This window comes from Homo sapiens, chromosome 19 (genome assembly GCF_000001405.40).
Source record: "Homo sapiens chromosome 19, GRCh38.p14 Primary Assembly".
NCBI lineage: Eukaryota > Metazoa > Chordata > Mammalia > Primates > Hominidae > Homo > Homo sapiens.
This window is the reverse complement of record NC_000019.10, coordinates 55,385,523-55,408,097: the sequence shown is the minus strand read 5'-3', so window position 1 is coordinate 55,408,097 and position 22,575 is coordinate 55,385,523. Positions and strand designations below refer to the sequence as shown.

Sequence of the window (22,575 nt, the reverse complement as noted above, 5' to 3'; positions counted from 1 at the left end):
CGTCTCATTCAAACGGTCCAATCAGCGGCCGCGTCGCCTTCCCCGTCCCCCTTCCTCTCTTCTTCCCCTTTTCAGCCCCTCCGTTCTTTGAGAACCCTCCCGACCCCCGCGGGCCCCCATTGGCCGGCCCGCTACCCAGCCCTCTCCGCCACTTCCCTCGCTTCTGACCATAGTTTGCGGGGAAGGGAGCGAGCGCGTCGAAAACCAAGGAACGTGCGCGCTGACGTCACGGTTGAGGCTCGGAGCTGAGGGGCCGCGGAGGGCGTGGCCTGCGGGCGGTTATAAAGAGGCAGTGGTGCGCGCGCGGCCGGCTCAGTGCTGCCGGGCACCGGGGCGGCGGGTTGGTCTACGCTGTGCGCGGCGGACGTCGGAGGCAGCGGGGAGCGGAGCGGGGCCGCCGGGGCCTCTCCAGGGCCGCAGCGGCAGCAGTTGGGCCCCCCGCCCCGGCCGGCGGACCGAAGAACGCAGGAAGGGGGCCGGGGGGACCCGCCCCCGGCCGGCCGCAGCCATGGTGAGCACGGGCGATGAGGCCCATGAAGGTGGTCGGGGGTGTCCCTGAGGGAGGAGGTGGAGTCTCAGGGGCCTCCGACGGGCGGCCTTGAGGGGTTTGAGGGCCAGCCTGGGGGTCCCTGACCCGGGATGGGCCCGAGGGCCTTCCCGCAGGCGGAGCAGGAGCTCGGGCGGCCCGCAGTCTCCCTGGCGGCGAGGGCTCCGGGCGCTTTGCGGCCCGCCCATGGGTGTTACCAGGAGCAAGGACGCCCCGCCGCCATCTCCAGACCTGAGCCGGGGTTTCAAGGATGCTCTAACCAAAAATTAGTGGAGAAGGGGGAGAGAGTAGATCTCTGGCCTACGTGGAACCACTGGGGACCAAGCAGGGTTAGGAGCGGGCTTTGGGGGGGGGGTTCTGGGGTGGGTGGAGTTATCTGCAAGCCCCCCCGTGAACCCGCCCCCATTTCTGTTGGAAACTCTGCCTGGGCTGATGGCCTGAAGCATCCTGGGTGAGGGTCTGGGAGTTCAAGGGTGATTGACAGCCTGGGGCCACTGAGTCAAGACTTGGGCAGTCTCAGCATCTTTAGGCCCTGCGGGAAGCCCAGCTCTTAACACTCGCTCACCCTGCTCTCCCATCCGTGCCCAGAACTCCAACGTGGAGAACCTACCCCCGCACATCATCCGCCTGGTGTACAAGGAGGTGACGACACTGACCGCAGACCCACCCGATGGCATCAAGGTCTTTCCCAACGAGGAGGACCTCACCGACCTCCAGGTCACCATCGAGGGCCCTGGTGAGTTTGGAAGGAAAAAGAGAAGGGGCTGCTGCTTAGATCCTCCATCACCCTGCTCTAGATCACCCTAGCGGGAAGTACCCATTACAGGCTGGCCTCGTGTCAGGTGTTGGGATGCATTGGTGGACAGGGCAGGACGCCACAAATGACAATTATGTACTCTTTTCCCACAAGGGTTGAGAAATATCTGGTCATTGAGTTAGTATATCATGGGACGGTACTCTAGATTTGAAGCAAGGCTTTCAGACATGGCTTCCCTGGACCTGAGGGTGGGTAGGAATTAAGTAGGAATGGGAAGAGAGCTCCAGGTGGTGGGAATGGTGTCAGCAAGGGCCTGGGAGGGTGGGCCAGGTGATCTCAAACTCCATCCTGCTGTGAGTGTCAGGGATGAGGAAACAAGCCAGATGCAGATCGTGGGGAGACGGGTCATGAATGATTTGCGGGTCACATGATTTGCGGAGTGATTTAGAATACTGTTTCATGCAGGCTACATTTCTGTTATCACCAGAATTCCTACAAAGTCAGGATTTGAGCAGAGCCTGTGAAGGAATGGTCTAGTCCACGGTGGTGATGGTGGTAGGTGGTCAGGAAAGACCTGGCAGCGGTGACAGTTGAGGTCCTTCATGCCTTGCTGCAGAGGGCGCGGGATCATGACAATAGGAAGGCTCCAGAAAGGCCCTTGGGCAGGTGGAGCTGGGCGCTTGGTAAAAACACATGAAGAAAGTTGATGATGAAGCTGCCAAGCTCTTTTAGGGCTTCTAGGCCTCTTCAAGGAGTTTGTAGAGGAAGCTGGTGGAAGGTTTAAAGCAGGGGTGTGACAAATCCCTCCAAAGTTCCTATTGACTGTAGTGAGGAGAGCCGGCCTGGCAGGGGGAAGAACCCAGAGGCCAGCCAGGAAGCTAGCCTTGGAGATGGGATGAGATTCAGGGGAGGACCTAGCAGGCCGGTGCTCAGGCTGCTGATGGGCTAGGGGAGGGACAGTATTTTGACCCAAGCAAGTGGGTGAGTGGGAGAGGCGTTCACTGGGTTGGGAGGCTGTGGAATTAACAGACAGTTGGATCCTTGATCTGAAAGGCATATAAATGGGCATCTTATAGGAAAGTGCGTACTTGGGTCCCTGCCACCTGGGAAGGGCCTGTGACTGGAGTGGTCAGTTGGGCTGAGACGGGGGATCCAGGAGGGTGCAGACGAGCTTGATAGTGACACAGGTGGGGGCTGCAAGATGGGCATCATCTCTGAGGTTTTGGGGGAGGTCCTGTGGCCCCCTAGGAACCCAGCCATTCTTGCTCTTTTTTTTTTCTCTCTCTAAACGGAGTCTTGCTCTGTCGCCTAGGCTGGAGTGCAATAGCACAATCTCTGCTCACTGCAACCTCTGCCTCCTGGGTTCAAGCAGTTCTCCTGCCTCAGCCTCCCAAGTAGCTGGGATTACAGACGTGCACCACCATGCCCAGCTAATTTTTTGTATTTTTAGTAGAGATGGGGTTTCACCATGTTGGCCAGGCTGGTCTCGAACTCCTGACCTTGTGATCCGCCCGCCTCAGCCTCCCAAAGTGCTGGGATTACAGGTGTGAGGCACCGCGCTTGGCTTTTTTTTTTTTTTTTTGGAAACAGAGTTTCGCTCTTGTTGCCCAGGCTGGAGTGCAGTGGCGCGATCTCCGCACACTGCAACCTCCCCATCCCGGGTTCAAGGGATTCTTCTGCCTCAGCCTTCCGAGTAGCTGGGATTACAGGCATGCACCACCACGCCTGGCTAATATTGTATTTTTAGTAGAGACGGGGTTTCTCCATGTTGGTCTGGCTGGTCTTGAACTCCTGACCTCAGGTGATCCACCCGCCTTAGCCTCCCAAAGTGCTGGGATTACAGGCGTGAGCCACCACACCTGGCCTCTTGCTCTTAAGAATTCTACAGCCTGACTGGGCATGGTGGTTCACGCCTGTAATCCCAGCACTTTGGGAGGCTGAGGTGAACAAATTGCTTGAGCCTAGGAGTGCAAGACCAGCTTGGGCAACATAGTGAGACCCTATCTCTTAAAATAAAAAAGTAGCCAGACCTGGTGGCATGCCCGTAATCCCAGCTACTTGGCAGGCTGAGATGGGATCACCTGAGCCCAGGAATTGCAGGCGGCAGTGAACTGAGATTGTGCCACTGCACTCCAGCCTGGGTGACACAAGAGACCTTATTTCAAAAAAAGAAAAAAAGAATCCTCCAGTCTGTTGGCAGAGTTGGCGGGGCACCCACCTGCATCACAATCAGACCGTGGAGACTGGACTTTGGGGTGTTGAGGTGCCTTGGGACTCCTGAGTGCCCTGACCCTGTACCCCTCCCTCCACTCCAGAGGGGACCCCATATGCTGGAGGTCTGTTCCGCATGAAACTCCTGCTGGGGAAGGACTTCCCTGCCTCCCCACCCAAGGGCTACTTCCTGACCAAGATCTTCCACCCGAACGTGGGCGCCAATGGCGAGATCTGCGTCAACGTGCTCAAGAGGGACTGGACGGCTGAGCTGGGCATCCGACACGTACTGCTGGTGAGTTCTGGGCTGGGGCTGGGCCTCCTGCCTCCTGCCTCTGGAGGTCTGCTGGTGTCTGAGCCATAGCGCTTTGTTTAGTTTTTCTGAATCAACTCTGAAGTGGTTGAAGGTTTCCACATAAAAATCCATGTTGCTAGCTTTCCTGGAAAGACAAACAGTGCCAGACCCAGGACACCCAAGTACTGTTGAGAAGTGCCCAGGAGCACCTTACTATGCAACGAGTGGTGAGTTTGTATTGTAGGATGGTTTTTCTCTTCTCCCTTTTTTTTAAAAAACAAGGATAGGGTAGGCCAGGTGTGGTGGATCACTTGAGCTCAGGAGTTCGAGACCAGCCTGGCCAACATGGTGAAACCCTGTCTCTACTAAAAATGCAAAAATTAGCCGGGCATGGTGGCACATGCCTGTAATCCCAGCTACTTGGGAGGCTGAGGCAGGAGAATCGCTTGAGCCTGGGAGGCAGAGGTTGCAGTGAGCCGAGATCGCGCCACTGCACTCCAGCCTGGGTGACAGAGTGAGACTCTATCTCAAAAAAAAAAAAAAAATAAGATAAAAAATAAAACAGGAATGGGGTCTCATTTGTTGCCCAGGCTGGTGTCAAACTCCTGAACTCAAGTGATCCTCCCACCTCGGCCTCCCAAAGTGCTGGGCTTATAGGAGCCAGCCACTGCGCCTACCCTGTAGGACAGTTTTCTGACAGGTGGAGGTCAAGGGTCTAGTTAGAAGCTCTTTCTTTCTTTTCTTTCTTCTTTCTTTCCTTTTTCTTTCTTCCCTTTCTTTCCTTTCTTTCTTTTTGTTTTAAAGATACTGGCTCTTTGTTGCCCAGGCTGGAGTGCAGTGGCGCAGTCATAGCTCACTGTAGCCTTGAACTCCTGGGCTCAGGTGATCTTCCTGCCTCAGCTTCCTGAATGGCTGGTATTACACGCATGCACCACCATACCCAGCTAGTTTTTATATTTTTATGGTTTGCAGAGATGGGGTCTCATTAGAGGCTTTTTTGCTAAAGCTGAGCTTACATGCCGTAAAACTCAGTTCCAAAGTATACAGTTCAGTGGTTTTTTAATAGCGATAGGGTTCATAAACCAGTGTTTCTCAGCCAGAGGTGATTTTGCCCCCCAAGGGGTATTATGCATTGTCAGGAGACCAGAAAGGGTTGTCACAACTCGGGGGTGCCACTAGCATCTAGTGGGTGGAGGCCAAGGGTGCTGCCCAAATCCTGCAGCGTACGAGATGGCTCCATGACACAGAATGACCTGGCTGCGGTGTTGCTGAGGTGGAGGCGTCCTGGTCTAGGCTGGTGCTCCAGGCTGCTTACAGCCTGCTGCCTCCCAACCCTTCCCGCAAGCTGAAAAAAAAAAAAGTTAACCAAATTTCTAATGAGTCCCTGGGGCACATGGCAGAGAGGGTGGGGAATTGGGGTTTCCTGCCATGGGGAGGGAGAGGATTGAGCTCCAAGGTAAACAGACCCCAAACCCTTCCCTCCCACATGTACCGCCTCCCTTCCCCTGGGGTGTCATTGGAGGCTGCTGGGGACATTGGCACCGAGCTCCAGGCCTACTTGCTGCTAGGTCAGCATCTGGGCCTGTCAGGGGCTCAGCCAGCAAGAAGAGCAGCCAGACCTGCAGTTTGGGTGCAGTGATGAGAATTAGGGTGGGAACCTGTGTCCTGGTCACCATCAGTGATATCTGCTGAGCATCTGCTGAGCCAGGTACTGTGTATGTGTCATAGTGGCCCCAGGGAGCAAACTGCTGTGGCCAGTTTGCCCAGACCCACTTCAGAGGATCCAGCTGGGGCTGCTGGAGGCCTGGCTGCAGGTCACACCTCTGCACTCCAATTTACCCCTCAGGACGGGCTGTGAAGGGGGTTGAGAGGAATCTCTGGACCACCCTCGAAGTGCACCTCAGCCAGCAGTCCTGGTGTCTTGCCCTCTTGTGTGTGGTCCAACCCAGCTAGAGTCTTAGGCTGTGAACTTCGGATGTCTGATAAAAGACAGAGGTCAGGATTTATGCTGTATCTGGAAAGATGGGGAGCTTTAGAGTCCAACACGCAGGTGTGATTTCCTCAAATCCTGAGGCCCTGGGGAAGTCTCTTCTCTCTGTCCAGGCTGCAGGCCTCACTCGTTGAACCAGAGGGCCTCTAAGGTCATGCTGAACTGCATGGAGGCAAATTCAAAACCATAATAGGACTCAAGTCTGGGGCTCAGGCAAGTAATGGACTCCTGAGAGGGGGCCTTGGCGTTTCCCCCGTTACCCAGCAAGTTCCACGGAGGACCAGGGACATTTTAAACCATTGGGCCTATGGCATCGTGTCCTTTTGGGAACATCTGCTGTGAGGCAGGTCACATGAAGGTGGCCTCTGAGGGAGACAGGAGCAAAGATGAGGGAGGATGCAGCATAGGTGGGGCCTGGATCTGCAGCTGAGTTGGGAGCAGAAGGAACAGCCAGTGCGGAGGCCACCCTCTTGTGGAGGCCTGGGGGTCCCTGTAGGTTGCCCGACCCACTGTGACCCTGAGCCTCTTCCCACAGACCATCAAGTGCCTGCTGATCCACCCTAACCCCGAGTCTGCACTCAACGAGGAGGCGGGCCGCCTGCTCTTGGAGAACTACGAGGAGTATGCGGCTCGGGCCCGTCTGCTCACAGAGATCCACGGGGGCGCCGGCGGGCCCAGCGGCAGGGCCGAAGCCGGTCGGGCCCTGGCCAGTGGCACTGAAGCTTCCTCCACCGACCCTGGGGCCCCAGGGGGCCCGGGAGGGGCTGAGGGTCCCATGGCCAAGAAGCATGCTGGCGAGCGCGATAAGAAGCTGGCGGCCAAGAAAAAGACGGACAAGAAGCGGGCGCTGCGGCGGCTGTAGTGGGCTCTCTTCCTCCTTCCACCGTGACCCCAACCTCTCCTGTCCCCTCCCTCCAACTCTGTCTCTAAGTTATTTAAATTATGGCTGGGGTCGGGGAGGGTACAGGGGGCACTGGGACCTGGATTTGTTTTTCTAAATAAAGTTGGAAAAGCAGCTTCTGTGTCTCACAGATGCCCCAGGACCGCTGCATGGTGCCATGTGGCTCTGGGAGTTTGGCTCCCCTGCACAGGCCCTGGGTCCTTGTAAAGCCTCATGGACTGCAGCAGTGGGTCCATCTAGCTCACCAGCCTTGCTGTTTGAGGTTTGGGTCCACCTCTTTGTTCTGTGGAGGTAGAGCGGTCACAACCCCTCTTTGGAGTCAGATTTCCAATCTAAAATGGGGCGAGGACCTGGAGCTGCTCCTGGTGGCCTGAGCGGCACTGCCCTATACTTCTCCCTCTAGAATAATGGCCACGTTGGTGTGGCAGTGGTGTTCCTGCTCAGGACGGCCAGGTGCCAGCAGTCTGGCATGAGGCTCGCCTCGTCTGTCTGGTTCTGGACTGGGCCAAGGTTCGGTCCCCTTGAATCATCTGATCCTGCTTTGTGCTAAAGATTGGTTTTTCCCTTGTGGGCAGCAAAGCCTGTTCCCACATGTATTTCTGCACAACAGATCACAAAGCCAGCGGCTTAAAACAACACCCACTTCAGACTTTGTGTTGGAAGTCTGGACACGGCTGAGCTAGTCTCTGCTCAGTGCTTTGCAGGCTAAAATTGAGGTATTGGTTGTTGGTGTTCCTTAGTCTGGGTCCTCTTCCATGCTCATGGTTGTTGGCTGATTTCAGTCCTCGTAGAACTAGGGTCTTAGCTCCAAGAAGCTGCCCCTCCTTGGGCCCTGGCAGGTCTGATTTAAGGGCCCATTCCCTTTGAGGTGCTCACCGGATTAGGTCAGGCCCATCCAGATACTTAAGTGATAATGACTAAATCACAGGGGTAAGATCCCAGCTTAGTCTTAGTTTCTGCCCTCAAGGGGAAGGGATTAACCTGGGTGTGCACACCAGGGGGTGGGGAAACTTCCCATTCTATTAATGCGTTTAGGTTATTTAGACCAATGTCTCATTAATTTTAAAAAAATTAAAAATAGGCCAGGCGCAATGGCTCACGCCTGTAATCCCAACTTTAGGAGGTGAAAGGATCACTTGAGGCCAGGAGTTAAAGACGAACGTGGGCAACACAGTGAGATCCCATCTCTACAAAAAGTAAAATACATTTACAATAAAAATCTACAAGTTCTGACCCATAGGAGAGTGGAAAACTCAAAGGCTGCTTTTGTCCTGAAAGAATTTGCCTATTCTAATAAAACAGCTGAGGTTGAAACGGCTCAGCCTCTGAAAGGGGTCTGACCCTTCCTTGAGCCCTTGCCTCCAGTGACAATCTCCCAAGCTAAGGGAGAAAAGGAACCAAAAGTCTGCACTCCTCTCTACCTCTAGCAGTGCAGGGAGCGAAGGAAAGACAAGGGAAGAAACCCTTCAGATTTTCAGATCAAATTCACATCACTGGCCATCCAAGAAATCTTAAGCTCTGCGTTTATCGTCAACCATTTCTGCATGAGGGAAGCAAACAGTCCTTGCTGAAGGAAGGTGCCTGCATCCTGGGCCTCGGAACCCACTGAAATAATTTAGCGAAGTGCATAATAAAAATAATATTTGCCCTTAGCCCTGACAGAGTTCCTCAATCCCTTGGAATCTCCTGGGTATTAATAGGAGCAGTCTTTGTCCTAATGAAGCCATCTGTGATGGGCCCCTGCGTAGCTTCAGGAAGGGGGTTGGTCACTAGAAATACCAAGACCGAATTAGACAGTTGGGAATTTCAGCCCCACCCATACCTACCAACCTCTGGGAAGAGAGGGGCTGAAGGTTGAGGTCAATGACCAATGGTCAATGATTTGTCTAATATGCCCATGTAATGAAACCTCCGTTAAAACACTAAACAAGGTTGGGTGGGGTGGCTCACGCCTGTAATCCTAGCACTTTGGGAGGCCAAGGCGGGCAGGTCACCTGAGGTCAGGAGTTCAAGACCAGCCTGGCCAACATGGTGAAACCCTGTCTCTACTAAAAATACAAAAATTAGCTGGACGTGGTGGTGCATGTCTGTAATCCCAGCTACTTGGAAGGCTGAGGCAGGAGAATCTCTTGAACCTGGGACACAGAGGTTTCAGTGAGCTGAGATCCTGCCACTGCACTCCAGCCTGGGTGACAGAGCGAGACTCTGTCTCAAAGAAAAGAAAAGAAAAGAAAAGAAAAAAATTAGCCAGGCATGGTAGTGTGCGCCTGTAATCTCAGCTCTTCGGAGGCGGAAGTGTGAGGGTCACTTGAGATGGGCAGGTTGACGCTGCAGTGAGCTATGATCGTACCACTGCACTCCAGCCTGGGTGAGAGAGGGAGACCCTTCCTCAAAACAAACCGGGCACGGTGGTTCACCTGTAATCCCAGCATTTTGGGAGGCCAAGGCTGGTGGACCACTTCACGTTGGGAGTTCAAGAGCAGCCTGCCCAACGTGGCGAAACCTCATCTCAACTAAAAATATAAAAATCAGCCAGGCATTGTGGTGCATGCCCATAGCCTCAGCTATTCAGGAGGCTGAGGCAGGAGAATTGCTTCAACCCAGGAGGCAGAGACTGCAGTGAGCCGAGATTGCACCACCGCACTCCAGTCTGGGCAACAGAGTGAGACTCTGTCTCAACACCCCCGCCACTCCCCTCAACACACGCAACAAAATGTATAAAGAGTTCCTACAAACGAATAAGAAAAAAACATGAAAAATTGGCAAAAACACTTGAACAAGCACTTCACAACACAGGAAATCCAAATGGTTACTCAACACATGTAAAGGTACTCAACATCATTAGTAACTGGAAAAATGCAAATGTAAACCAAGATTGATGCCATTATACTCCTAGAAAAACAACAATTAAATCTGAGAATACCAAGTGTTGGCAAGGTGGCGGAGCACTAGGAACTCCTATAGACTCCAGTTGGAACAGTGAGATGGTAAAGCCCATTTTGAAACTTTGTAGTCAAGTCAAAAGAACTCAACTTATTACTCAACAACCTTTTTGGTTTCGGTTTGGTTTTCATTTACATCGAGGTTCCCTTTGTTTCTATTTCTTCACAACCATCCATGCCGGGGTAACTCCTTCCTGCGTCTCAAGCCCAAATCCCACTCTAGAAATTCACATTCCCATTTCTTTCTTTTTGTTTTTTTGAGACAGAGTTTCGCTGTGTCACCCAGCCTGGGGTGCAATGGCACAATCTCAGCTCATTGCAACCTCTGCCTCACAGGTTTCAAGCGATTTCATGCCTCAGACTCCCGAGTAGCTGGGATTACAGGCGTGTGCCACCAAGCTGGGCTAATTTTTGTATTTTTAGTAGAGACAGGGTTTCACCATGTTGGCCAGGCTGGTCTTGAACTCCTGGTCTCAAGTGATCCGCCTGCCTCGGCCTCCCAAAGTGCTGGGATTACAGGCATGAGCCACCACGCCCAACCTCACATTCCCATTTCTGACTCTATAGGACACAGGTTGTTTTCTTTAAGAAGATGCGGTATCACTATGTTGTCCAAGATGGACTCAAACTCCCGGGCTCAACTGATCCTCCCACCTCCCACCTCCCACCTCCCACCTCCCACCTCAGCCTCCCTAGTAGCTGGGACTATAAGCACGCACCACCATGCCCAGCTCTCATGTACTTGGACATACACAACAGGTTTAAAACATTTGTCCTGGCCGGGCGCGGTGGCTCACCTATAATCCCAGCACTTTGGGAGGTCGAGGCGGGTGGATCACAAGATCAGGAGATCGAGACTATCCTGGCTAACACGGTGAAACCCTGTCTCTACTAAAAATACAAAAAAATTAGCCGGGCGTGGTGGCGGGCGCCTGTAGTCCCAGCTACTCAGGAGGCTGAGGCAGGAGAATGGCGTGAACCCGGAAGGCGGAGCTTGCAGTGAGCCGAGATCGCGCCACTGCACTCCAGCCTGGGAGACAGAGCGAGACTCCGTCTCAAAACAAAAACAAAAACATTTGTCCCGATTACAAACAGCAGAAACATGCTTGTATATTTAAGAAACAATACCATACAGCACAAACATAATCAAAACTAAGCAAGTCACAAAAGATACTACAGCTTGAATGCCTTCATACACAATTCAAAAATAGGCAAAAATAAATTCTCCTGCTAAACATACATATGGTGGTGGTAAACTATAAAAGAAAACAAGGAGGCCGGGTGTAGTGGCTCACGCCTGTAATCCTAACACTTTGGGAGGCTGAGGCAGGCAGATGGCTTGAGCTCACAAGTTCGAGACCAGCCTGGGCAACATGGCGAAACCCTGTCTGTACAAAAAACACAAAAATTTTCTGGACGCTGTGGTGTGCACCTGTAGTCCCAGCTACTCAGGAGGCTGAGGTGGGAGGATGGCTTGAGCCTGGCAGGCAGAGGTTGCAGTGAGCCAAGATTGTGCCACTGCACTCTAGCCTGGACGATAGAGCCAGACCTTGCCTCAGAAAGAAAGGGAAGGGAGGCCAGGCACCGTGGCTCACACCTGTAATCCCAGCACTTTGGGAGGCCAAGGCGGGCGGATCACAAGGTCAGGAGATCGAGAACATCCTGGCTAACACGGTGAAACCCTGTCTCTACTAAAAATCAAAAAAATTAGCCGGGCGTGGTGGTGGGCACCTGTAGTCCCAGTTACTCGGGAGGCTGAGGCAGGAGAATGGCGTGAACCCGGGAGGTGGAACTTGCAGTGAGCCACTGCACTCCAGCCTGGGTGACAGAGTGAGACTCGTCTCAAAAAAAAACAAGGGGAGTGGAGGGGAGGGGAGGGATGGGGAGGGGAGGGGAGGGGAGGGGAGGGGAGGGGAGGGGAGGGGAGGGGAGGGGTGGGGAGGGGAGGGGAGGGGAGGGGTGGGGAGGGGAGGGGGGAGAACTTTCCTAAAAGTGAGAATACTGTTTACCTCCAGCCAGGGTTGAATACTTGGGTGGTTTGAGGGTCTGGTAGTCTTCCATTTCCTGACCTGGGTATTGGTTACATAGGTGTTTTATGATTTTTTAAGTGTATAAATACATTTTATGCACTTTTCTGTGTGTATGCTGTATTTCAGAATTTTTAATTTTAAAGTTTTTTTTTTTTTACAAGTTTACATTCTTGTTGTTCAGGCTGGAGTGCAGTGGTGCCAACATAGCTCACTGCAACTTCAAACTCCTGGGCTCAAGTGATCCTCCAATCTCAGCCTCCCAAGGAACTGGAACTACGGGTGCACACTACCACGCCCAGCTAATTTTTTTGTACAGATGGAATTTCACTGTGTTGCCCAGGCCGGTCTCAAACTCCTGGGCTCAAGGGATCCTCGCATCTCAGCCTCCCAAAGTGCAAGGATAACAGGCATGTGCCACCGCGCTCAGACAAAGGTTACTGTTAAGTCAAAAAAGCAAGGTGCAATATGCCTTGTATGGGACACTACCAGTCATGTAAGGAAGCCGGGGGCAAAAGAATACATATATAAATTTCCTTGCATTTGCATAGAATTTCTCCAGAAAAATACACGAGAACCTGGTAACATTGGTTGTCCCTGATCAAGGGAACTGGTTGTCCCAGATACAAGAATGAAAGGGAGCCATTTCATTATAGAAATTTTTATCTTTAAAATGAGAAAAAGAGGCTGGGCGCGGTGGCTCATGCCTGTAATCCCAGCACTTTGGGAGGCCAAGGTGGGCAGATCACAAGGTCAGGAGATTGAGACCATCCTGGCTAACACAGTGAAACCCCATGTCTACTAAAAATACAAAAAATTAGCCGGGTGTGGTGGTGGGCGCCTGTAGTCCCAGCTACTAGGGAGGCTGAGGCAGGAGAATGGCGTGAACCCGGGAGGCGGAGCTTGCAGTGAGCCGAGATGGCGCCACTGCACTCCAGACTGGGGGAGAGTGCAAGAGACTCTGTCTCAAAAAAAAAAAAAAAAGAGAAAAAGAAGGCCAGGCACAGTGGCTCACGCCTGTAATTCCAGCACTTTGGGAGGCCAAGATGGGTGGATCTCTTGAGGTCAGTTCAAGACCAGCCTGGCCAACATGGTGAAACCCTGTTTCTACTTAAAATACAAAATTAGCTGGGCATGGTGGCGCATGCCTGTAATCCCAGCTACTTGGGAGGCTGAGGCAGAAGAATCGCTTGAACCCAGGTGGTAGAGGTTGTAGTGAGCCGAGATCGCACCACTGTACTCCAGCCTGGGCGACAAGAGTGAAACTCTGTCTCAAAAAAATAAATAAATAAATAAATAAGAAAAGGAAAAAAAAGAAAGGCTAATATTCATCACATGGTATTCCAACTCTCCTTCCTTGAGACAAATGTTTGCATATTGTGACTATCCAGAGGCATTCGATGCATATACAAGCAAATACACATGCATCTTATTGTTTAAATATTTAAAAATATTTAACAGGAATGTTGGCATATCATTTACACTATTTGCAGGTTGCTTTTTTTCACTTAATATATTTTAGAGATTGGCCCAAAACATAAGCTTTTTCATGTTTTAAAAATTCTGGGTGGGGCCAGGCACAGTGGCTCACGCCTATAATCCCAGCACTTTGGGAGGATTGAGCCCAGGAGTTCAAGACCAGCCTGGACAACATAGTGAGATCGTGTCTCTACAAAACAATTTTAAAAATTAGCTGGGTGTGGCAGCACACACCTGTGGTCCCAGCCTCTCTGGAGACTGAGGTGGGAGGACTGTTTCAGCCCAGGAGTTCAAGGCTACAGAGAGCCTTGATCTTGCCACAGCACTCCAGCCTGGAAAACAGAGTGAGATTCTTTTTAAAAATATATATAAATAAATAGAAATTCTGGGCTAGGTGCAGTGGCTCACACCTGTAATCCCAGCACTTTTAGAGGCCAAGGCAGGAGGATCACTTGAGGTCAGGAATTCAAGCCCAACCTGGGTAACACAGTGAGACCTTGTCTCTACAAAAATATTTAAAACTTAGCTGGGTGTGGTGGAGCACACCGGTGGTGCCAGCTACTTCGGAGACTGAGGTGGGAGGATTGTTTGAGCCCAGGAGTTCAAGGCTGCAGTGAGCCGAGATTGTGCCACAGCACTCCAGCCTGAGCAACAGACCTTTATCTTTTTGTTTGTTTGTTTGTTTTTGAGACGGAGTCTCGCTCTGTCACACAGGCTGGAGTGCAGTGGCGTGATCTTGGCTCACTGCTACCTCCGCCTCCTGGATTCAAGCGATTCTCCTGCCTCAGCCTGCCAAGTAGCTGGGACTACAGGCGCACACCACCACATCTGGCCAGTTTTTAGTATTTTTAGTATAGATAGGGTTTCACTGTGTTAGCCTGGATGGTCTTGATCTCCTGACCTTGTGATCCGCCTGCCTGGGCCTCCCAAAGTGCTGGGATTACAGGAGTGAGCCACCGTACCCAGCTGAGACCCTGTCCCTTTAAAAAAAAGACTTGTAGCTGGGTGCAGTGGCTCACACCTGTAATCCCAGCACTTTGGGAGGCCAACACAGGCAGATCACCTGAGGTCAGGAGTTCGAGACCAGCCTGGCCAACATGGTGACACCCCCGTCTCTACTAAAAATACAAAAATTAGCCAGGCGTGGTGGCGGGCCCCTGTAATCCCAGCTACTTGAGGGGCTGAGGCAGGAGAATCGCTTGAACCCAGGAGGTGGAGGTTGCAGTGAGCTGAGGTCGCAGTGAGCCAAGGTCATGCCATTGCACTCCAGCCAGGGCGACAGAGCAAGACTCCATCTCAAAAAAAAAAAAAAAAAAACAAATTGGTGATTGGCAGGGCAGGGGCTAGAGGGGACATGAGTGGGAGTGGCTGCTTCATGGATACTGGGTGTCCATTCAGGATGATGAAATGTTCTGGAATAAGATAGGGGTTGTGGTTGCAAAGCTTTGTGAAGACTAAAAATCACTGAATTGTGCACTCTAAAAGCGTGGACTTTATGTTACGTGAATTATACCTTTTTCTTTTTTTGGAGACAGTCTTCATCTGAGCCTAGGGACCAGCTAGGAGCTTCAGGGAGGAGAGAGGCCTCAGAGATTACAGCCTAAGGAGGCTGGGGAGACTGGACAGGGCCAGATCCCGGGCCTTGCTGGCCCTAGAGAAAGGTTTGGGCTTTTATTCCTCATGGGGGTCGGGGGGGGGGGGGGGTGCGTCGGCCAAGGGAGGATGACAGGTCTCATTTATCATTTGTAAAGATCAATTTGCTACTGTGTAGAGAACAGCCTGGAGGGACAGCAGGGGAGCGGGCGGGTGTGGGAGGCCGGTGGGAGCTGGGGCCGCTGGAGGTGTGATTCAGACATGCTAGGGATGGCTGGGCCTGGGGGAGGGCCAGGTGTTCAAGAGGAACAGAGGAGAGGGGTGCTGGGGAGCCTCTGGGGGATTAGCCATTGAGGGGTGTGTTTAAATGAGTGGCTTCATCAATGCAGCGCTGATGGCCATCGAAAGGGGCCCGCAGCCTGTGTGTGCTGATGGAGAGACAGCCCAGTGCATTAGGGAAAAGGAGCAAGGGGGAGGTTCCTGTTGCCATGATCCAATCTGTGTAAGACATTAAAAGATGAGGCTGGGGCCGGACGCGGTGGCTCACGCCTGTAATCCCAGCACTTTGGGGGACCGAGGCGGACGGATCACGAGGTCAGGAGATCGAGACCATCCTGGCTAACACGGTGAAACCCCGTCTCTACTAAAAATACAAAAAACATTTAGCCGGGCGTGGTGGCGGGCGCCTGTAGTCCCAGCTCCTGGGGAGGCTGGGGCAGGAGAATGGCGTGAACCTGGGAGGCGTAGCTCACCCGAGGTCGCGCCACTGCACTCCAGCCTGGGTAACAAAGCGTGACTCCGCCTCAAAAAAAAAAAAAGATGAGGCTGGGTGCAGTGGCTCACGCTTGTAATCCCAACACTTTGGGGGACGAAGTCAGGAGGATTGCTTGTGCCCAGGACTTCAGGACCAGCCTGGGCAACACAGTGAGACCCTGTCTCTACAAAATATCTTTTTAAATTAGCCAGGCGTGGTGCTGCACACCTTAGTCCCAGCTACACAAGGGGCTAAGGCGGGACAATTGAGAGTGCCCAGGAGTTAGAGGCTGCAGTGAGCCGTGATTGCGCCACTGCACTCCAACCCAGGCAACAGTGAGACCCCGTCTCTTAGACAAACAAAAAGAGGAGATCTGCATGCATATGTGTGAAGTTTCCAAAAAGGAGAAGCACAGGTGGCTAACTTAGGGGCTGGGATTCTGAGATTTTCTTCCCCTGCATACTCTTCTTTCATTTGCAGTTTTTCAAGACCACATGCATATTTCATAATGAAAGATTTTAAAGTAGATGATTTTATTCTAGTAACTGGCTACAAGAGAAACAGGGGAATTGATACCATTCCTGGGCAGCGCCAAACAGCCTGGGCTGGAAATGCAGCTGAGGACAGAATGATATTCACAAACACGGGCAGGAGGCTGGGAAAGCTCACAGCCCCACAGGACGGCGGGGCAGACCTGGAGCCACCAGGCATTACTGCACATGGATCTGGCATGTCTTCCAGGTGCTTGGGAAACACGAGCATTAGTTTGTGTACAAATTAGTCATAGGCATGTGAAGACATCTGTGATCATGAGTCCATCTGATCAAAATATTTATAAAAAGTCATTAATTTATTCCTACAATCAGGATTTGTGGGCACAGTCAAGCAGGTTTTGCACATTTAATCTTCTCATCAACCCTGAGTAGTAGGGTCTATCGACACGCATGTTACAGATGAGGGTACGAAGACACAGAGAGGTTGAGGAACTTGCCCAAGGTTGCACAGCCACCGAGCAGCAGAGCCCTGACCCAGTAGATGCCAGCATGTCCTGTGAACAGAGGATGCCTCAGTCCCGAGTCTCTGCTGCTGTGGGGAGTCTGGAGTCCCCAGCGCTCTGCACAACTTTGGGCTTGGCAGCCTTCCAGGGTGCGCCCTACGCTCACTCACCATGCAGCTACTGGACTAAGAGCTGGAGAGACAGCAGTGAACACTGAGACACCTGCCTTATGCAGGGCTGTGAAAGGCACTCAAAATGGCCTTTTACATATGGGAAACTGAGGCACGGTGCTACTAAACGAGCTGCCCAAGTCCCCACAGCTGGGCATAACTGGCAGAGCTGGGACTGGAACCCAGGCAGTTTGATTCCTGGCTTCCGTGAACCATTAGCCCTGAGCTGGGAATGCTGCCGGGCATCACTCTTGGGGATAGGATGACCTGGGGGAGGTTCTTTCAGCACTCTGGATGTGTCCCCACTGCCTGGGCCTGGTTTCTGATGAGGGCAGCTACTAACTTTATCAGGGACCTTCTGTATGTGACAAGACGCTTTTCTTTTGTTCTCCCAATTTTGTCTTTGGCTTTCAGCATTTTTACTATGGTGAGCCTGCCTGTTTTCTTAATATCATGTTTTTGGTTTAACTGGTTTTCCAATTTCCAGGCCAACAGACATGATTTGTGTGAATAAAGCTGGAATAGATGGCCCCATCCAACATCTCTCTCTCCAAGATGAGGTCTAGAGGAGGGAAATGGTGTCTCCACGTTTGCTCAGCACACTGAGGACTCCAAACTCTGTGGGGCTGAGACCATCTCCCTCCCTCCAGCCCTCTCCTGGTTCCTCCACCCCAACCCACCGATAGCATTCAGATACCAGACGTGGCCTCCCCAGCCCAGCCACACAGACAGGCTGGCCACCCGCAGGAACAGAGGCCCACTAAGCTGGGCTGTGTTACGGATGAGACCAGGGGAGGCCACACAGCAGGGAGGATTCAGATAGGGATGGAGAAAGCCAGCAGGACTCCACAGGGGGTGGGGCCTAGAGGCACAAGCCTCCAGGGCAGGCAAGGAGGTGGTTAAGGACAAGGCCTTCTGAGCAGCAGCAGCCACATCAGAAAGCCTCGAGCGCCTGTAATGCCAGCACTTTGGGAGGCTGAGGCAGGTGGGTAATTTGAAGTCAGGAGTTCCAAACCAGCCTGGGCAAAATGGTGAAACCCCATCTCTGCTAAAAATACAATACTGAGCTGGGTGTGGTGACACCCACCTGTAATCCCAGCTACTCGGGAGGCTGAGGCAGGAGAATCGCTTGAACCCAGGAGGTGGAGGCTGCAGTGAGCCAAGATCGCGCCATTGCACTCGCCAGCCTGGGCAACAGAGCGAGACTCCATCTCCAGAAAGTCTCCAGTGAGCAAACTCTCAGGACCGGTGGGCTTTATACATTCAATATGCACCATTCATCAAGCATCTCATTATATGCTGGTGTGCTAGACAAACCCCTTGCCCACCAGCACAAGACAAACATGAGACAGATAAACCTGCCAGCTTGTGGGCTGCAAATCAGTGCTGTGGAGGACAACTGAAGCAGGTGCCAGGGGAGAGGCCTCACGAGAAGGGGCCATCTACTAACGTGAGCAGTGAGCTCTCCTTATGAAGGCGGAGTCCCAGCGCAGTGAGGCCAGCCAGAGATGGGCCTGAGTGGGACTGGGACAGTGGGGGCTCCTGAGCAGGTACGAAGTCACCAGCGGAGTGAGGCCAGCTGGAGGTGGGCCTGAGTGGGATTGGGACAGTGCGGGGGGTCCTGAGCAGGTACCAAGTCACCCAACTCAGTTTTAAGGCAACACCTCTCAATCTGAGCTAATAGACCCAACTAAGGGAAGGACAAAGGAAATGGTAATTCACAGCAGACAGGGGCTGGCAAGTGGTCAGATCTGCTCTCCTTCGAGCTGGGCAAGACTGGAGCAGACAGGACTGAGGTCGGAAGGGCAGTGGTCTGCCTCAAAACGCAGGGCTCCCAGCCCCGTACGACCCCAACCAATGGCAAGTCGAGGCCCTGACAGTCCCCTTACTCTCAGTCAGAGCCGGGGGTGGTCTCAGACAGGGAGCAGAGTCCTTCTTTGAATCGGGTACCCCAGGATGGCAGGAACCAGGGGTGCCATGGATGCTGGATCCTTGGTCCCTGGCAGTGGCTGACAGAGTTAGGTGCCCAGGAAACATGTGAGGATCAACAGCAGGACTCTTTCCCCATCCAGGCCTCACTGTGTGTCATGGTGTCTTCCAGGCTGGAGTGTAGTGGTGGGGCTCATGGGCTCACTGCAGCCTCATACTCTTGGCTCAAGTGCTCCGCTCACCTCAGCCTCTACTCAACCTCTGAGGAGCTGGGACCACAGGCGGTGCACCACCACACCCAGCTAATTTTATTTTAGAGACGGTGTCTCATTATGTTGCCTAGGATGGTCTCAAACTCCTGGCCTCACAAGCTGTAATAAACACTAGGGAGCAAACAGGCCAAAGGAAACAAGAGGGCTGGGCAATCAGGAAAGCTTGGGTGACAGGGTGGCCCAGGAGCGGCCACTGAGATGAGACCTAAGTGACAAGAGCCAGCTCAAAGAGACAGGGGAGGGATGGGGACACCTGGAGGACGGGAGTAGGGGGACAATGCTAAGGCTGCTCAATGCCTGCTGGCTGTACCCTGGGGCTGCCATCTCCCTTACAGTTATAAGCCACCACCCACCAAGTTGCCCATCTCAGAGATGAGGTTGCATCAAGTAAAGCCCATCCCCTCCAAATGTGGCTGCACCCACTCCCTGGATGCAAAAGTCATCTCATCTTCCTCCCGTGATGTCTGTCGTCCCCCAGGTCTTGGGAACACCCCAAGTCCCCAAACCGTGCTACAGCACCAGGGCCCAGGGCCCAGCCCTCAGCCTGCACCCTTCTGGGCTAGAAAAGGCCTTTCTTCTTCTGAATGGAAGCCACTGCCCCAGCTGGGATTCTTCAGGCCACCTCACAATGGGACAGTAGGTCTCAATCACAAGTCAGCAAACTTTTTCTGTGAAGACAGTGACCCTTGCCCTCACCAGGGACAAGGCAGCTACCCCACCCCTCCTGCATGGCCAGCCATTGACATCACCTCCAGATGGACAAGGTGACATGCAGAGTTTTGATGACATGGCCTGAATGACAACACACAGGGCCAGAGCTCCCCAGAGCGTTTCAAAAAGGGAGGCCCAGTCGAGGCAGGTGAGAAAGCCAGCTGACTTTATTGCTCTGGGGGCAGGGGGCTCAGGAGCTCTTGGTGGGGCGGGTCCGCTTCCTCTTCACCATCACAGGCTTCTGGCTGCGCAGGATGGCGCTGGCCCTGCGGATGGCTGCCTGGGGGCGGGGGAGCAGAGCAAGGCTCAGCCCATACACTCCACAAGCCGCCCCCTAGGCCAATGCTGGGTGTGGGGAGTAGGCTGAAAGCAAGAATCCATCCCTCTCCAGCCCATATTGCAACCAGTAGTGGGAGGCCCTTCCCCACAGCACTGGCCAGTCTCCCCAAGCCTGATCCCCAAACCCCAGCTCACCATGCGCAGGTCGGGGCGGTACTTGTTCTTGCGGATCATGTGTCTGATGCTGCTGAGCGTGGCGCGAGCATTCTTGTTGATGGTGGTCCGCACATAGGAGGTGGCAGGCTTCCGCTGGCCTGGTTGGGGGTCAGGGAGGTCCTGGGGTCAGTCCACCTAACCTGCACCTTTAGCACACCTCGCAGGTGTGGACAGTCTCACATTGAGAAGCTGAGCAGCGTGGGCCCGTGGCGGGTGCCTGGGCAGGCCAGCAGGTAGCTGTTTTCCCACCTGTCCATTTCACAGAGGCTCACTCGTCATCACGGAGTACTGAGGACACAGCTTCTGCCACACTCATAGCCCAATTCTGTCCACCATGAAAACACTCCTTTCTCATGCCAGAAAGCTGCCGCTTCAGTTAGGATCTGATCCAGGTCCAGCCAGAGCCCACGCTCCTGGCAATGGGTATGAACAGCTTCCCAGGAACCCCAGGCCCATCCCCACAGCAGTGGTTCAACATCAGCTTGGCTGAGAGGCCCAGCCTCACTCAGGCCAGTCCCTTAGTCTAGGAAGGGCCACCCATGTATTCGGCAATCCAAGAGGTGAAAGCTTTCAGGACTCCCCAGAACGGGGTCCCCAAGTGCCAAGCAATTGGCTGCTCCCTGGACTACGTGTCCCTGAGACAGGAGGATCACTAGCCAACAGACTGCGTTTGTTGCTGCCACTGAGTAAAAGGACCCTTGGCTCTGAGGCAGTTCCAATCAAGGACCTGAGAAAAACTCACTCTAAAAAGAAAATACAGCCCTGTCAAGAACACATGTGAAGCTGGACTCCTCCATTAGAGACCCCCGACTCACACGAACATTCAGGGAATCCCCAAAAAGGCCTGCACCTGACAGCACAATGTATGGAGTGGGGTCCCCAAGACCTCTTCTCTAACCTACACAGGCAAAATGGGAATCAAATGGCTGCAACCAACCCAGCCTGTCCCCTCCTAAGTGTGGTAGCGAGGGCCCCTCCCCTGTTGTGCCTCAATCTTCCCACCTGTGGGATGAAACCATCCATCCCCACCCTGACTTGCTTTGAGAATTTCATCTGAAAACATCAACCCCGTGCCTTAACTCTCAACAACCACCGAGGAAGTTCAGGTCCTTTTTCATTTCTCCACTTTACAGGTGAGGACACGGGCTCAGACGCGCGCGGCTCACAGAGCTGACAAGTCGGCCGAGAGGGAAGCCGGTACCCAGACCAACACCCTGGCGCCAGGGATGCCCGCCGCGATGGCAGTTACCGCTCTTCCTGCCTGACAGTAAAAAATCACAGCTCCCAGACCCGGGAAAGGGGCCGCTCTCTGGCCCAAACCAGACAAAACTCACCGGATCTCCGCTTAATGACCACCACGACACCTTTGCCGTCGGCTGCCGGCTCCACGCCCACAGTCTTGCGGTGAATCAGTCCGTTGTAGCGGAAGGAATTGCGGGCCTTCAAGTTATTGGGCTCCTGGGAAGGAGGCGGCACAAGGCATCGTGAATAAGGGACCCGGAGACATGCGAAGGTCCCGCCCTCTGACCCAGAGTCAAGAGACTCAGGACCCTCCTCCCGCAGGAGCCACGCATCCGGGCCCCACTTACAGTGCTGTAGGTCTGCTTATTCCTCTTGATCAGGAAACTGGAGCAGTTCCGCACGACCATCCATTGCAGATGCGCAGACATGGCGGCGGCTGCGGGGAAACGGGCACAGGGAAAGCGTCAGACACAGAGAACTAAAGCAGCGTTAGGCCACGGGCCACGCTCGGACAGCAGAGGAAGAGAGCGACTGGGAACTTGGGTGAATGGGAGACCCCTGAGGGCAGACAGCGACCTAGAACTCTTGTCAGGCGGGACTGAGTGACCTAAGGCGGCGGGACCGAATTCAGGCAGCCGAGACTAGCTGCGGCGAATGAGAGTGAGGGGAAAATAACTTGAAAATTCACAACGACTTCACGGGGAGGGGTTGGGGTCCGCCAATGACCCTTGAGGCGCAAGGGGAGAAGGCAGGCAGAGGACTGAGAGGGAGTGCGCGGCGGGCCGGAGATGGCGACCACGCGAGGAAGACGAACGCTCACCTCCCTTCGCAGCGGCGACCTGAGACGGAAAGAGGAAGGCGAGGGGCGAGGCGACGCCTTTAATACCGTACACGCATTTCCGCTTCCTCTCCGGGCGGGCACGACAGGAGTTGTCGGTCCCCACCTCCGAGGCGGCTCGATGATGTTCGGCTGCTTCCGCCGAAAATTCGCTCAACGCTCGGGAATATTCGGAACTCTTCGGTTAGAGGGCCGAGAGCGTATTCCGGGAACCGTTCGGAAGTTTTCGAAACTCTACCGCTGGATTTCCGAGTGGCTCCAATTCGAGAGGTCCTGGGACCCATACCTCAGCGTTATCTCTCCAGTATTGCTCACCCAGCACTTGTCACTGTGATTGGCATATGATGGGCGCTCAACAAACATTTGTTTTATGAATGAACTGGTGAATGCGTGAACTATATAAGCCTAGCCCCGGCACCTTTGGA

General features: G+C 53.5%; 2 protein-coding genes and 2 non-coding genes across 10 annotated transcripts, besides 8 other annotated features; 2 read left to right on the top strand and 2 right to left on the bottom strand.

Moving 5' to 3' along the window:
* Positions 82-131: a silencer, noted in NCBI's record as "silent region_11031". NCBI's record gives its function as "represses an Ori minimal core promoter by ATAC-STARR-seq in GM12878 lymphoblastoid cells {active_cell/tissue: GM12878}" and the evidence as "EXISTENCE:reporter gene assay evidence [ECO:0000049][PMID:35858748]".
* Positions 142-201: a silencer, noted in NCBI's record as "silent region_11030". NCBI's record gives its function as "represses an Ori minimal core promoter by ATAC-STARR-seq in GM12878 lymphoblastoid cells {active_cell/tissue: GM12878}" and the evidence as "EXISTENCE:reporter gene assay evidence [ECO:0000049][PMID:35858748]".
* Positions 212-681: a silencer, noted in NCBI's record as "silent region_11029". NCBI's record gives its function as "represses an Ori minimal core promoter by ATAC-STARR-seq in GM12878 lymphoblastoid cells {active_cell/tissue: GM12878}" and the evidence as "EXISTENCE:reporter gene assay evidence [ECO:0000049][PMID:35858748]".
* Positions 212-847: a biological region, named in NCBI's record as "H3K27ac hESC enhancer GRCh37_chr19:55918619-55919132".
* Positions 310-8,353, top strand: UBE2S (ubiquitin conjugating enzyme E2 S). 2 transcript variants are annotated; one of them, NM_014501.3, is made up of 4 exons: positions 310-511; positions 1,136-1,283; positions 3,620-3,810; positions 6,336-8,353. In NM_014501.3, exons 1-4 carry the CDS (start codon positions 509-511, stop codon positions 6,660-6,662), a joined length of 669 nt encoding a protein of 222 aa, NP_055316.2. In that variant the 5' UTR covers positions 310-508; the 3' UTR covers positions 6,663-8,353. The 2 variants fall into 2 exon arrangements, with proteins under 2 accessions (NP_055316.2, XP_011525054.1); XM_011526752.3 differs by lacking the exon at positions 6,336-8,353 and adding an exon at positions 3,951-4,135.
* Positions 334-847: an enhancer, noted in NCBI's record as "H3K27ac hESC enhancer chr19:55918619-55919132 (GRCh37/hg19 assembly coordinates)". NCBI's record gives its function as "activates a minimal SCP1, AML or CMV promoter by ChIP-STARR-seq in primed H9 embryonic stem cells {active_cell/tissue: H9 hESC(primed)}" and the evidence as "EXISTENCE:reporter gene assay evidence [ECO:0000049][PMID:30033119]".
* Positions 3,275-3,775: an enhancer, noted in NCBI's record as "H3K4me1 hESC enhancer chr19:55915691-55916191 (GRCh37/hg19 assembly coordinates)". NCBI's record gives its function as "activates a minimal SCP1, AML or CMV promoter by ChIP-STARR-seq in primed H9 embryonic stem cells {active_cell/tissue: H9 hESC(primed)}" and the evidence as "EXISTENCE:reporter gene assay evidence [ECO:0000049][PMID:30033119]".
* Positions 3,776-4,276: an enhancer, noted in NCBI's record as "H3K4me1 hESC enhancer chr19:55915190-55915690 (GRCh37/hg19 assembly coordinates)". NCBI's record gives its function as "activates a minimal SCP1, AML or CMV promoter by ChIP-STARR-seq in primed H9 embryonic stem cells {active_cell/tissue: H9 hESC(primed)}" and the evidence as "EXISTENCE:reporter gene assay evidence [ECO:0000049][PMID:30033119]".
* On the bottom strand, positions 4,756-22,166 carry RPL28 (ribosomal protein L28). 6 transcript variants are annotated; one of them, NM_001363697.1, is made up of 5 exons: positions 22,133-22,166; positions 21,660-21,748; positions 21,405-21,528; positions 20,050-20,168; positions 4,756-5,155 (listed from the first exon to the last, which is right to left on the bottom strand). In NM_001363697.1, exons 2-5 carry the CDS (start codon positions 21,738-21,740, stop codon positions 4,967-4,969), a joined length of 513 nt encoding a protein of 170 aa, NP_001350626.1. In that variant the 5' UTR covers positions 21,741-21,748; positions 22,133-22,166; the 3' UTR covers positions 4,756-4,966. The 6 variants fall into 6 exon arrangements, with proteins under 6 accessions (NP_001350626.1, NP_000982.2, NP_001129607.1 ...); NM_000991.5 differs by lacking the exon at positions 4,756-5,155 and adding an exon at positions 16,013-19,855; NM_001136135.2 differs by lacking the exon at positions 4,756-5,155 and adding an exon at positions 16,013-16,544.
* On the top strand, positions 5,441-5,508 carry SNORD157 (small nucleolar RNA, C/D box 157). Its single transcript, NR_145781.1, has one exon. It is a non-coding gene; the product is annotated as a small nucleolar RNA, C/D box 157 (small nucleolar RNA).
* Positions 9,626-9,725: an enhancer, noted in NCBI's record as "active region_15094". NCBI's record gives its function as "activates an Ori minimal core promoter by ATAC-STARR-seq in GM12878 lymphoblastoid cells {active_cell/tissue: GM12878}" and the evidence as "EXISTENCE:reporter gene assay evidence [ECO:0000049][PMID:35858748]".
* On the bottom strand, positions 19,856-19,917 carry MIR6805 (microRNA 6805). The gene has a single exon (NR_106863.1). It is a non-coding gene; the product is annotated as a microRNA 6805 (primary transcript).
* Positions 22,167-22,575: the final 409 nt, after the last annotated feature.